This window comes from Homo sapiens, chromosome 11 (assembly GCF_000001405.40).
Source record: "Homo sapiens chromosome 11, GRCh38.p14 Primary Assembly".
NCBI lineage: Eukaryota > Metazoa > Chordata > Mammalia > Primates > Hominidae > Homo > Homo sapiens.
In genome coordinates, this window is record NC_000011.10 from 124,325,408 (window position 1) to 124,340,277 (window position 14,870).

The window sequence follows — 14,870 nt, forward strand, 5'->3', positions numbered from 1 at the left end:
GGCCACTAGTGATCAGAGACCATTGACGTCAAAACATAGCATTCAGAAATAACAAAAAAAAAAAAAAAGAAAGAAAAAAAAGCTGACATGCAACCCGCATAGGAAATAATATTCTTCTCTGTTATGAAGTTCATCAGCATTTTTGGAATAAACACAGAAGAATAAAAGTGGTCTATAAAAGCTAAACTAAAAAGAAAAAAGTACATGGGTGCATGAAAGTATGAACTGAACACAATCAGAGTTACCAAGCCCAAATTCCCCTACCCAGCAACCACACCCATTACTAGAAACAGGAAGAACAGGGGCGGTTGGAGATCTGTCTGGTCTTTTAACCCCACCAGAATTAATTCAGCCACAGTAGAAATATTTCCAGGAGCCATTCTTCTCTATGGAAAGCTGTGGACAAAGGAGAAAAGTGTTGCATTAGAGGACAACCCAGCTCTTCCCACAGTATTTTCTCCCACAATGTGGGATATTGTTTGAAACTAGCCCAACCTGGATCCTCAGAATCTGGCTTTACCAAAGTCATGATACTTGGGTGACACTGACTTAGGCTTTTTAGAGTCTTATTAAACTAGATAGAGCAAAGAGCAGTGCCACTTTAGCCTACAGCCAGTGCTGCCATATGCAAACATGATTGCTGAAAGACCAAGGGGTAAGGGAGAAGGGTGGACTAGGACAGAATCCGCATTCTCTCATCTCATCATTTCTTCATTCACTTGCGTCCTCCCGCCTCTCATCAATAAAATTAGAGGCAGAGGCCATAGGACATACTCATTGTCATCTGTCCTTACATCTAAAATTGGCCATGTGACATAGCCACATGATTAAAGGGAGAAGGGAAGCCATCGACTAGCTTCTGGAAAGGATTCACCTCGTGATAGATATAAAGAGAGGTATGTATGGAGAGCTGTATTTCTTGTTGCCTTGTTTCCATCTTTGGGTACAGTTGTGTTTAGATGTCATTCATGGAGCTATGACAGCCATTTTGTGATTGTGAAGTGATAAGCCTGAGGTCTAAAACTAGCAGACTGAAGACAGTGGCATGAAAAGCCCTGGTTGTTGATGAGAATTGCTTAGTTGCTAAATCAATCCTAGGACACGCTCCCTCCAGATTTATTGTTACATGAGGAAAAAATAGTTCCTAATTAAAATAGGTTTTTATTGGAACATTCTATAACTTGTTGCTAGAAACTTTCCAACTGATATCATCAACTGGAGGCTACGTTCTTGAGATATTTTTTAAAAAATGCATTATTTTAAGAAATGAACACCTTGGAGGAGATGATTTTCTTTTCAATAAATATTGAAGAGTAAAACTAATTCAGTATGATGAGTAGAAGAGTTGTACAGTTTCAGGTATTAACTTTAAATAAAATCTTTGGTTCTTCTTATTAGTGTTCCTTGCTTATTATACCATTGGGGTCCTTTTTTAACTTTTAGGTTCAGGGCTGCATGTGAAGTTTGGTTATATAGATCAACTCATGTCATGGGGGTTTTGTTGTACAGATTATTTCATCACCCAGCTCTTAAGCCTAGTACCCAATAGTTATTTTTTCTGCTTCTCTCCCTCCTCAAAATCATGCAATTACATGGAAATTAAACAACATGCTCCTGGATGACTTTGGGGTAAATAAAGAAATTAAGACAGAAACCACTGTGGTCTTAAAATGTAAACATTTTCCAACTTTTTCTGTATTTTTAATTGTGAGACACTGAGTTTAAAAAAATACTAAAAGTGCTTAAAAACACTTAAACCAATTAGAATAGTCCATTCATGATGTCTTATCAGCTACATGTTGAGCATCTCAAATCTGAAAATTCAAATTTTCAAATGCTTCAAAATCTAAAACTTGTTTTTCTTTCTTTAAACTTTTTTGTATTTTTCCATAAGTTATTGGGGTACAGGTGGTTTTGATCACATGAGTAAGTTCTTTAGTGGCGATTTGTGAGATTTTGATTTACCCATCACCTGAGAAGTATACACTGCATCCTATTTGTAATCTTTTATCCCTCACCCCCCTCCCATCCATCCCCCCAAGTCCCCAAAGTCCACTGTGACAGAGCAGGAGCACCATCATCTCAGTCACTTTAAGTTCCAGCTCCCTTTCTAGCCTCATGGATTTCAAGGAAATCACTTCTCTTCTAACTACAAGAAGCCAGAAAGAGCAGACAGTAAAACACAGATAAGACAGCTCGGGCACAGAGGAAGGTGGGAGGAAAGTCTTTTGGGTAACTGCCAAACTTCAATAGTCCCCAGTAAAACAATGGGCCTTAATAAACACATTCCTTTCCCTTCAGGTATGCTAAGATAGGAAAGCTAAAAGCAGACTCATGGGGTATTCCTGCAGCTGCAGAAAGATGTATGGGAACAGACACACAACTCTCCCTCCCAGATGAGCACAACAAAGAAACACAGAAGCAGTCCAAGCCTCTGATAAGCTCTCCCACCCTGAATCCTTAAAGAAACTGTCTGTAAGAGAGTGTGGCTCTGACCTAACTCAGCCAGAAGCCCCTCTCAGGTTTGTTTTCTAAAATAAACCTGTCATTGTTGACTGTTGAGCCACACTTTGTATTTCTTTCCTCTTTCTTTAATTCTTACATATTGTATCATTCTTATGCCTTTGTGTCCTCAAAGCTTAGCTCCCACATATCAGTGAGAATACACGATGTTTGGTTTTCCATTTCTGTTACTTCACTTAGAATAAGTCTCCAGTCTCATCCAGGTTGCTGCAAATGCCATTAATTCATTCCATTTTATGGCTCAGTAGTATTCCATTGTATAAATATATCACAGTTTCTTTATCCACTCATAGATTGATGGGCATTTGGGTTGGTTCCACAATTTTGCAATTGTGAATTGTGCTCCTATAAACATGCATGTGCGAGTATCTTTTTTGTATAATGATTTTTTAACTCTGGGTAGACACCCAGTAGTGGGATTGCTGGATCAAATGGTAGTTCTACTTTTAGTTCTTTAAGGAATCTCCACATTGTTTCCCATAGTGGTTGTACTAGTTTACATTTCCTCCAGCAGTGTAGAAGTGTTCCCTGTTCACCGCATGGAACTTCCTCCAAGATAGAGCATATGATAGGTCATAAAATGAGCATCAGTAAGTTTAAGAAAATTGAAATTATATCAAGCATTCTCTCAGACCACAGTGAAATAAAACTGGAAATCAACTCCAAAAGGAAGATTCAAAACCATGCAAATACATAGAAATTAAATAACATGCTCCTGAATGAGCATTGAGTCAAAAACGAAATCAACATAGAAATTTAAAAATTCTTCAAACTGAATGACAGTAATGACAAAACCTATCAAAACCTCTGGGATACAGCAAAAGCAGTGCTAAGGGGAAACTTCAAATCCCTAAATGCCTACATCAAAAAGACTCAAAGACCACAAACTAACATTCTAAGGTCACACCTCAAGGCACTAGAGAAACAAGAACAAACCAAACCCAAACCTCGCAGAAGAAAGGAAGTAACAAAGATCAGAGCAGAACTAAATGAAATTGAAACAACAACAACAAAAAGAAAGATAAATGAAACAAAACACTGGTTCTCTGAAACTTTTTGAGCACCAACACAATGCTCAGAGAAAATGTTCATTGGAGCATTTGGATTTCAAATTTTCAGACTTGGCATGCTCTACCCCTAAATATGTAATGCAAATATTCCAAAATCTGAAAAGATAAGAAATCCACAACATTTCTGGCCCCAAGCATTTTGGATAAGGGATATTTAACCTGTATAACCAGGACAGAATCGTCATTCTCTCCTCTCATCATTGCTCCATTCACTTGAGTTTTCACTTCACCAGGAAAATTGGAGGTAGAGGCTTCAGCAACCTGGGTGCTGGCTTCTAATACAGATTAGACCCAGGTGGGATGGGAACAAAGAACACTGTTTCTAATCCACAAAGGACCAGCATCTAGAAAATGTTAAGTTACTGCACATGTCATAGAATAAAAGACCTACATCTAGAACAGGGAGAGTTCTGTTTATGGAGAGAAATAGTAGTAACTGAGGTACTACTCTCCCTAAGGTGCCTAATGTCTATGAATCTTCTCTGATCCTCCACCATTTTACTTAAGTGTCAGAAATGCACAAAATGGGAAAGAAAGTGGTGTATCTAAGTCTTAGATTACCGCTTAAAATGAGGAGGACCTATGCTAAGTGAAAGAAACAAGACGCAGAGAGAAACACTGCAGGATCTCACCTATACATGGAATCTAAAATAGTCAAATTAACAGGAGCAGAAAGTAGGGTATTTATGGGTTTCCAGGGGCTGGTGGGAGGGAAAATTTTTGCTAGATCTTAAAATTCTCCACATATTTTGGAATATAATCCATGGCAAAACAGAGGGAGCACTGGATCTTCAGGAGAAAGCCCTACAAATGTAAATTGCCATAAAAATAAGAATTTTCTTCTGTACCATAATGAATACAGTGTGAAAAATTAAGCTAATGCTCCCTATGAATTAAGGCGTGTAGCCATGTGGCTGAAGTGGTCCATATTACAGCATGGACATTTTCTCATGTGGAAATTAATGTTTCAGTAGTAACACAGGTAAATAGCACCCTCTGATGGGAACTATTGACTTAGATAAGATTTGTACTAATTAAAAGAAAAAAGATGTTCTAAGGAATAATCCAAATGAAGACTCTTAAGTAGGATAAAGCATTGAATTTTGCCTCAAAACTCAATTAAGATTCTTGGAATATATGTCTAATTTTAACAACTGAAGAAAATATTACAAAATGCAATCTGGTAGAAGAAAAGTTTGATAAGTATTTTGTACTCTCCTTTCACTTCCCCTTCTGTCACTATGAAAAGCATTTGAGCTCATGCGTTTTACAAGCTAAGGCAGTTCTTTCAGAGTGTTTCAAGAAAAGAAAGCACTGAAGAACTCTTCCTCTTTCCTCCCCACCTTCACTCTTCCTGTTCTGGATGATAACAAATGATGAATATAGTCATCTGCAAGCATTTTACCACCACCTGTACCTTTATTTTTATCTGTTAACCAATGGGAATAGTAGCCCTTAAAGAACAGATACCAAATTAGCTGAGTATGGTGGTAAGTGCCTGTAATCTCAGCTACTCAGGAGGCTGAGGCAGGAGAATTGTATGAACCCAGGAGGCAGAGGTTGCAGTGAGCCGAGATCATGCCATTGCACACCAGCCTGGACGACAGGGCAAGACTCCATCTCAAAAAAAAAAAAAAAAAAAAAAGATGCCAGTATAGTAAGAAGCTCATATAAATAACAATTGAAGAAACAAAAGAATTAGCGAATAGACACAAATTCACTGTACTTACTAGATTATACATGCATGCACGCATGCACACACACACATAATTTATGGTCAGTTTATTTTTGAGAGGGATGCCTAGACAATTAAATGGAGACAGAACAGTCTTTTCAACAAATGGTGCTGGAATAACTGGATGTTCATATTCAAAATAATAAATTGGACACCTACACTATAAAAATTAAAAGTATAATCATGCCTCTAAATGTAAGAAGTAATATTATAAAGCTCTCAGAAGAAAACATCAGAAAAGACATTATCAAGAGAGTTAAGAGACAATCCACAGAAGAGAAATGTTTTCAAATCATATATCTGATAGGATCTAGTATTCTGAATACACTGAGTATTGTAACAGCATAAAAATATTAAAAGACAACCCAATTTTAAAATAAGGACAGGATTTGATAAAACATTTCTTCAAAAAGATATTTAAAAAAGCAAATAAACACAGAAAAAGATGCTCCATATCACTGGTAATGAGGGAAATGTGAATCAAAAACACAATGAAATATTACCACACACAAACACTAGGATAACTATAATTATAAAAAATAAAAGATAATACCAAGCACTGGTGAGATGAGGTTGTAAAAGTTGTCACTGGTGGGAATATCAAATAATGCAGTCACTTTGAAAACCAGTCTAGCAGTACCACAAAACATTAAAAATAGAATTACCATATAACCCAGTGTTTTCTCTCCCAAGAGAAATGAAAACCTATGTCCACATAAAAGCTTGTATATGAATGTTCATTAGCACCATTACTCATAATAGCCAAGAACTAGAAAAATCAAAATATCCATTAACTGATGAATGGGTAAACAAAATGTGGCATATTCATACAATGGAATATTATATGATAAAAGAATGAAGCACATTTATAAGTTACAACATGGATAAGCCATGAAAACGATATGCCAAGCGAGGAAAGCCAGTCACAAAGAACATATGCTATATTACTCCATGGATATAAAATGTCCATAGCTGCAAATCCACAGACAAAACATCCCTAGAAAGTAGATGGGTCATTGTCCAGGGTCGGGGTGGAAGATAGGAGGACAATGGCTAAATGGTTTGGGGTTTCCTCTGGAGGTGACATGAAGGCTCTAAAACTGATTATGGTTATGGTTGCACAGTTCTGTGAGTAAAGCCAAAACCATTGCATTGCACACTTTAAATGTGTGAATTACGTGGTGTGTTAGTTTTTATCTAAAAAAAGCTGTTTCCAGAAAAAAAGAGTAAACTTTACATAAACGAAAACATGAAATAAAACAGAAATCAGAAAATATTTTTAAGTGAATGAAGACGTAAATACAACATATGAAAATACATGAAACATAGTTAAATATAGTGCTTACATGGCAATTTATGGCATCCAAGTGCCTATATTGGAAAAGAAGAGAGATTTCAAGTTAGACATAAACTTCTATCTCATAAAATATCCAGAAAAAAATTTTTAATTCAAAATAAGCAGAAAATAAGAGTAAAGATAATGGTTGAAAAAGTAGGAAATAGAAGAATATATAAATAAGTTCATTTGAAAGCTGTGCTTTTTACATCAATAAAAGTGATATTCCTCTAACTAGACAGTTTGGGCAGAAAAGGAAAAGACAAAAATTAGCAATATCAGATACATCAGAGAATGTGGCTACAGAGCCTACACACATTAAAGGAAAATAAGGGAATATTATGAACAAATTTACAGTTATTTAATTTGCAAACCAATGAAATGGACCAATTATTGAAAGATATAAATTGCCATAATTGGGCAAATGAACTTACATAAGATGAAAAAATATATATGCCCTCATTTTGATACCCTTAAGCTAAGCACAATGTTATATAATATATGACAAATGTATATAATGGGATTATATATTGACTTTTATCCTCCTATAAACACCGGAGAAAATCCCTCAACTCATACTTAGTAAATGAGAATACTCTCTGCCCTGGTCTGCACTGGATTCTTCTGTATGTCTTATACTACTGCTGCTCCTCTTCCGTATAAGCCATTCTGTATTAACAAGCTGTTCCCGTAATTCGAGGCTTTATTCTCCGTCTCTGTTTATAGATTAGTTAATTGTTCCCTTTAAGTAGAGCTCGGGCTTTGTAAACTTATTGTATTATGAAATATAGCATACATATATATAGATGATATAGATGTAAAAGTATATAAAATATGTACTTCAACCAATTTTTATAAAATGAGCAGCTTTTAACCACCACACAGATCTATAAGTAAAAAATCACCAGCACCCCCAGGGCCCGCCATGTGCTGCGTCTTGATTGTAGCTCCATCTATTTTTACATTCCCCATCCTGATTGTGTGGCTTTGCTTTATAACTTTATAACTAACGAGAGCATCTTTGTCATCTGTATCCTGCTCAGAGAAGGACAAAGAGAAGGTGGAAATGGCACACATTTGCCTTGAAACAGTGTGCATCACGTCTGGAACTCAGTCACATGCAAGAGCACACTGCAAGAAAGACTGGGAAATGTATGTTTTGGAGGAAGATTGAACAGCAGTAATCTCTGCCACACTGGTATATAATGATAGTTATATCATTATATACCAGTGTGGCAGAGATTACTGCTATGATATAACTATCATTATATCAGTGTCTGCCAATTATCATCAATGTGAGATTAAATAAGACATTAAATGTAAAAATGTACTGCTCACCCTGGAACTTAGTAAGAACCAATAAAAATCAGGATTTATCTAGGCCATTCTTGTTTTTTTATTTATTGTATTGGCCAGAAGAAAATAAGAACATACTCACGTATTCTAAATTGAACAACAGAACTATGAAATATGAAATATGAAGAATACTCGTAAGACATTTTTTCTTGAGTATTTTGCTTTTATTTGTATTTCAAGACATTTTTATTTACTAAAAATAATATTCATAATTAACTGATTTTTAAAGTAGAAAAATTTTGTATAATTAAAAAGAAAATAAAATCCTGATCAATTTAGAATCCAACACCCGAGTCCTGATCCCAGCTCTACCACCTGTATGTTGTAATCTACAACAAGCCACCAACATCTCTGAGCACCACACCTACCATCCGTGGGACTGAATCTGGGATTCCCTTGCTCATTTACCTCCCACTTCTTCCTGAGGAGCACAGGGACTGACAGATGGGACAGTGTAGAGGAAACTGTGCACAACTCTCCTCCAAAGACAAACTACAACACCTGGACACGTCTCTATATTGATGTTTGTAGTGGGTTAATTCAACTCTATGGCAGAAAGACTTTAAACAGTGCAAGTGATTCCACCAGCCTCCTCCTCACTGAGGACGATTAAGTCTCTGCCCTCAAAGGGAACGCTTCTATCAATGAGTGATAACTTAATGTTTAAAGGTATTTCTTGGCAGGGTGCGGGAGCTCATGCTTGTAACCCCAGCACTTTGGCTGGTGGATCATGAGGTCAGGAGTTTGAGACCAGCCTGGACAACATGGTGAAACCCTGTCTCTACTAAAAATACAAAAATTAGCCAGGCGTGATGGCACATGCCTGTAATCCCAGCTACTTGGGAGGCTGAGGCAGGAGAATCGCTTGAACCTGGGCGGCAGAGGTTGCAGTGAGCCGAGATCACTACTGCACTCCAGTCTGGGTGACAGAGCAAGACTCCGTCTCAGAAAAAAAAAAAAATAAAGAAAGTATTTCTTTTGCACAACAAAGCCTGCAGATAAACTACATGCTTGATCTGGTGCAAAGCTTAATTAACAGTGAGTGACATGTCCTGACGCTAGAGAGAAAAACCGACTGTGCCAGACTTATGGGATTTCTCAGTTTTAGATTAGAACATATTTTTAAGTTTATCTTTTCTGAAAATAAAACTGATTTCATCTGCATTTTGAGGGTCTTCACATGAAAGATCAGTGACCCAGTTTAATCCACCTCTTTGGCCATTTCAAACAGTGATAAAATACATAAAGTATGGACACACCTCTGAAATGTCCACCGAGTACCAACTAGCACAGATATTATTTACTTATTTAAATACATTTTTTAACTAAGGAAAATAATTTTATCAAAAGGGACAGCAAATAAAAGAAATGGTAAAAATAAACCTCCAACCAACTTCAGCTATTTTGTAAGAATAGAATTTGTTAAGGGTTAAATCAGGCATGTTGATACCAGGATCAGCAATCAGGAATGAGCAGCCATTTCAAACCATAAGTCAAAAATTTAGTAATGCTGAACATCAAAAACAATAAGCCAACAAAGAAGTTAGGATGAATTTTTTAATACCAAAATATTGAGTAGAGATTATAAAATGGAAAAATAGTAAATATCGTTATAGTTATGTTAGAAAATAGTTGTCCATTTCTATATAAGATTGATGATTTTTGAGTAGTCATATTTTTGTCTGATTTCCCAAAGGAAAAATAATCTACCCTCCTATTCCAGAAAAGACTGATACGATTTGTTAAATTTGGTAAATCAATTTTTTTTCAAATTATCATATCTCTCTCAGCTACAGTTTGAGGTTTTCATAGCTTAAAATCCATATGCAAGGAACACATGAAAACCAAGAAAAGCAAGTGTGATTTGGCTGTTCCTAGGACTCCCAGCCCTCTGGAATTAATATCAAGCAATGTCATCTTTTACACCACTAAGATAAATCCTATGATCTCCACAATTTCCTAGAGCCTCCAAGGAGAGGAGAATTCTAAGTAAGGGATTTCATTTTCCATCATTTTACTTTCTAAATTGTGTCTTCCTAAGTAGAATTTCAAACACCACTCATTATTTTTTTTATCAAGAAGTTGTTGCTATTCCTTCTCTACCTAATTCCTCACAAATGTGGCCACAGCTTTTCCATTTACATTCCCCAAATAATAACACCATGTGCATGTTATAATTGTTATCGAAGCTTAATGGAGAGTACAAGATACGGTGCTCCACAGAATAGAATACAAATTCAGATTACTCGCCAAAATTAAAAATAATTTAAAAAATTTAAAAATAACAGGAAATGAAAGTGGTTTCTACAGTCTTACTGACCATTCTCTACAGAGGGATCTCATTTATCAGCCGTGTGTCTCTTTGAGTCCTTTCACTCCCATGCTTAGATCTATCAAATAAATGATCCTGATAACATTTCAAAGTCATTTTTTTATTTTCCGAAAAACTCACCTCCTGTTTGACTTTTTTAAATTATCTTTAGCATATATTCTTTAAGAAAGAGTATTCGTTTAACATTTAAATGTATTTTGAACCAACCCAAATGTCCAACAATGATAGACTGGATTAAGAAAATGTGGCACATATACACCATGGAATACTATGCAGCCATAAAAAATGATGAGTTCATTCATGTCCTTTGTAGGGACATGGATGAAATTGGAAACCATCATTCTCAGTAAACTATCGCAAGAACAAAAAACCAAACACCGCATATTCTCACTCATAGGTGGGAATTGAACAATGAGATCACATGGACACAGGAAGGGGAATATCACACTCTGGGGACTGTGGTGGGGTGGGGGGAGGGGGGAGGGATAGCATTGGGAGATATACCTAATGCTAGATGACGAGTTAGTGGGTGCAGCGCACCAGCATGGCACATGTATACATATGTAACTAACCTGCACAATGTGCACATGTACCCTAAAACTTAAAGTATAATAAAAAAAAATGTATTTTGAGGCTAACAGTAAAAAAAATTAATTAATCAGTAATTAATTTAGTTTCATAGATGAAGAAGCCACAAATACCAAGAAACATATTTGCAGATAAAGAATTCATCCAATTTGAGATATGCCATACATTGGATAATTCTTATATTGATTATTAAAAGTGTGCCATATTTTACTTTATGGACTCAATTTAAGATTTCTTTTTTTTATTATACTTTAAGTTTTAGGGTATATGTGCCCAATATGCAGGTTTGTTACATATGTATACATGTGCCATGTTGGTGTGCTGCACCCATTAACTTCATACTAGCTTAAAAGATGTCCTCTTTCCCAACAATAAGAACCGTCAAACTGTTTTCCTAAACAAGCATAAAAGAAGCGATACACATTCTGTTAGACATTTATGTATCATTCTGGAACAAAGCACAGTCAATTTCCAAATTAGAAATGTTTTCTTATATTCCATATTAACTGAAATAAAAATAGTAAAACAGAAACAAAATGTACTAAGAAGAGCAGTGGACTTGAAATCAGAAGGCAAAATGTTTAGTCTAGACTTTTTCATTAAGAAGTTGTGTGACTAAGTAAATCATTACCATGAAGAGCTTCACTTTCCCATCCATGTAATAAATAAATGTCCTTCTTTTATGTGCTGGTTTGTGTGTAAAAATAAATAAGAAAACTATTTGACCAAAAAAAAGCTTAATCTATGCTGTTTAAAGCTGCAAAGTAGGTTATACTTACTAGTCCTTAAGAAACTTTTCATCTCTGGCTTTTTTTTTTTTTTTTTTATTGTTACACTTTAAGTTTTAGGGTACATGTGCACAATGTGCAGGTTTGTTACATATGTAGACATGTGCCATGTTGGTGTGCTGCACCCATTAACTCGTCATTTAGCATTAGGTATATCTCCCAATGCTATCCCTACCCCCTCCCCCGACCCCACAACAGTCCCCAGAGTGTGATGTTCCCCTGCCTGTGTCCATGTGTTCTCATTGTTCAATTCCCACCTATGAGTGAGAACATGCGGTGTTTGATTTTTTGTCCTTGCGATAGTTTGCTGAGAATGATGGTTTCCAGTTTCATCCATGTCCCTACAAAGGACATGAACTCATCATTTTTTATGGCTGCATAGTATTCCATGGTGTATATGTGCCACATTTTCTTAATCCAGTCTATCGTTATTGGACATTTGGGTTGGTTCCAAGTCTTTGCTATTCTGAATAGTGCCGCAATAAACATACGTGTGCATGTGTCTTTATAGCAGCATGATTTATAGTCCTTCGGGTATATACCCAGTAATGGGATGGCTGGGTCAAATGGTATTTCTAGTTCTAGATCCCTGAGGAATGGCCACACTGACTTCCACAAGGGTTGAACTAGTTTACAGTCCCACCAACAGTGTAAAAGTGTTCCTATTTCTCCACATCCTCTCCAGCACCTGTTGTTTCCTGACTTTTTAATGATTGCCATTCTAACTGGTGTTAGATGGTATCTCATTGTGGTTTTGATTTGCATTTCTCTGATGGCCAGTGATGATGAGCATTTTTTCATGTGTTTTTTGGCTGCATAAATGTCTTCTTTTGAGAAGTGTCTGTTCATATCCTTTGCCCACTTTTTGATAGGGTTGTTTGTTTTTTTCTTGTAGATTTGTTTGAGTTCATTGTAGATTCTGGATATTAGCCCTTTGTCAGATGAGTAGGTTGCGAAAATTTTCTCCCATTCTGTAGGTTGCCTGTTCACTCTGATGGTAGTTTCTTTTGCTGTGCAGAAGCTCTTTAGTTTAATTAGATCCCATTTGTCAATTTTGGCTTTTGTTGCCATTGCTTTTGGTGTTTTAGACATGAAGTCCTTGCCCATGCCTATGTCCTGAATGGTATTTCCTAGGTTTTCTTCTAGGGTTTTCATTTCTGGCTTTTAAAGGAGACATATGTTTGCCCAGAAGATGATGGAGAGATGGTAGCAGAAACAGACTGTCTGATTCCCACCTCCAGTGGCAAATGTTGAATAATAATTTCCACCCCTCTGACAACACAGTGATGCAGAAAGTGTTAATTTGCTTGATCATTTGCAGACCATTTATCTTTTCCTAGAGGAAAAAGTAATGTTAAAAATGACATTATAAAAATATAAATTTCTTCCCTAATGCTACTACTATACAAGAAAAAATGTGAGGAGAAAAGAATTATACAAATGATGAGGAAAGGAGGAAAACATGATCTTTGAAAAGGGAAAATAAATTATTGAGAGAAGACTCAAATTTTCTTCACTATAATAAGAAAGAATTAGAATAGGAAGAGTACTACCAAAATATCATAAATAACAACAGAAGCTCCCTGTCCTAAAAATACATGCACAGAAAGATACTATTTCTAGTCAAAATTTTTTCCTACTAGGGTTTTTTTCTCAGAGAAAGTTGAACATTTTATTCATCAAACTGTAGATTAAGGGGTTCATCAAGGGAGCTGTATTGGTGTAAAAGACAGAAGAAATCTTTCCCTCATCCATGGACCCAGCAGAAGATGGTTTGAGACACATAAATGCACACGATCCAAACTAAGAGAAACAGCAATTAGGTTGGAACTGCAGGTGTTCAAGGCTTTGGACCTGCCCTCCTTGGAGTTGATGTGGAGGATGATGTAGGAGCTGCAACCACAAGAGATAAATATGGTGACAGTGGAAAATAATGACTGCTGCAATGGAAACCACCAGCTCATTGATGTAGGTGCCGGTGCAAGAGAGCTGGAGCAGAGGGAGGATGTCACACAAATAGGGATGGATGGTGTTTGCATCACAGAAGGTCAGTCTCAGCATGCATCCAGTGTGGGCCATGGCACTAGAAAAGGCTAGCAAGTATAAACCAAGCATAAGGTGAGAGTACACTTTGGGGGACATGGCAATATTATACAAAAGTGGGTTACAGATGGCTACATGGTGATCATGGTGACATGCTGATCATAGGCCATTGAGGTGAGCACATAGCATTCAGAAATACCAAAAAAAAATAAAGAAAAAAGAAAAGCTGGGACATGCACCCCATGTGGGAGATAATATCCTTCTGTGTTATGAAGTTCATCAGCATTTGGGGTGTAAACACAGAAGAATAACAGAGATCTATGAAGGACAAGTTAAAGAGGAAAAAGTACATGGGGGTATGAAGGTGTGAATTGAGCACAACGAGAGTTACCAAGCCAAATTTCCCAACGCAGTGACCATACACTAGAAACAGGAAGAACAGAGGGAGTTGGAGATCTGGCTGATCTGTTAACTCCAGCAAAATGATTTTAGTCATGAAAAAGCCATTTCCAGGAGCCATTCTTCTCTGAGGGTATCTGTGGACACAGGAAAAAAAGCTTCCATTCAAGAGCAACACAGCTCTTCCCACAATTTCTCCTCCCGTAAGAGTAGAGTATATGCTGGGATTATCTGAGACTAGCCTAATATGGACCCACATAATCTGCCTTTACTGCTATCATGATACTGAGTGACACTGACTTCCCCTTTTTCAAGTTGTAGGAAGTCAAATACAGCAGAGACCAGCACCACTTTAGCCTAATAGCATGAAGGCCAGCGCTACCACATGCAAGCATGACTGCTGGAAAGACAAAGGGATACGGGAGAAGGGTGGACCAGGACAGAATGGTTTATCCCTCATTTCTTCATTTCTTCATTCACTTGAGTCCTCTCATCACCAATAAGGTTAAAGGCAGAGGCCGTGGCAACCTGGTGCTGGCCTCTAATGTAGGTTTGACTCAGGTGGTGCATAGAAACAAAGAACATTGTTCCTAATCCAAAAATAAGGAACCAAAGTCTAGGCAAGGTTATGTTACTGCCCCGTATCACAGAATCAAAGTCCTACATCTAGAACAAAGAGAGTTCTGTCCATGGAGAGGGA

The 14,870-nt window shown here is 36.8% G+C and overlaps 1 pseudogene, besides 1 other annotated feature; it reads right to left on the reverse strand.

Moving 5' to 3' along the window:
• Nucleotides 8,404–8,602: a silencer, noted in NCBI's record as "fragment chr11:124203707-124203905 (GRCh37/hg19 assembly coordinates)". NCBI's record gives its function as "represses an EF-1alpha promoter that drives an FKBP-Casp9 reporter gene in an ReSE screen in phorbol 12-myristate 13-acetate-treated (for megakaryocytic differentiation) K562 erythroleukemia cells {active_cell/tissue: K562(+PMA)}" and the evidence as "EXISTENCE:reporter gene assay evidence [ECO:0000049][PMID:32094911]".
• OR8B6P (olfactory receptor family 8 subfamily B member 6 pseudogene) lies at nt 13,405–14,305 on the reverse strand (annotated as a pseudogene).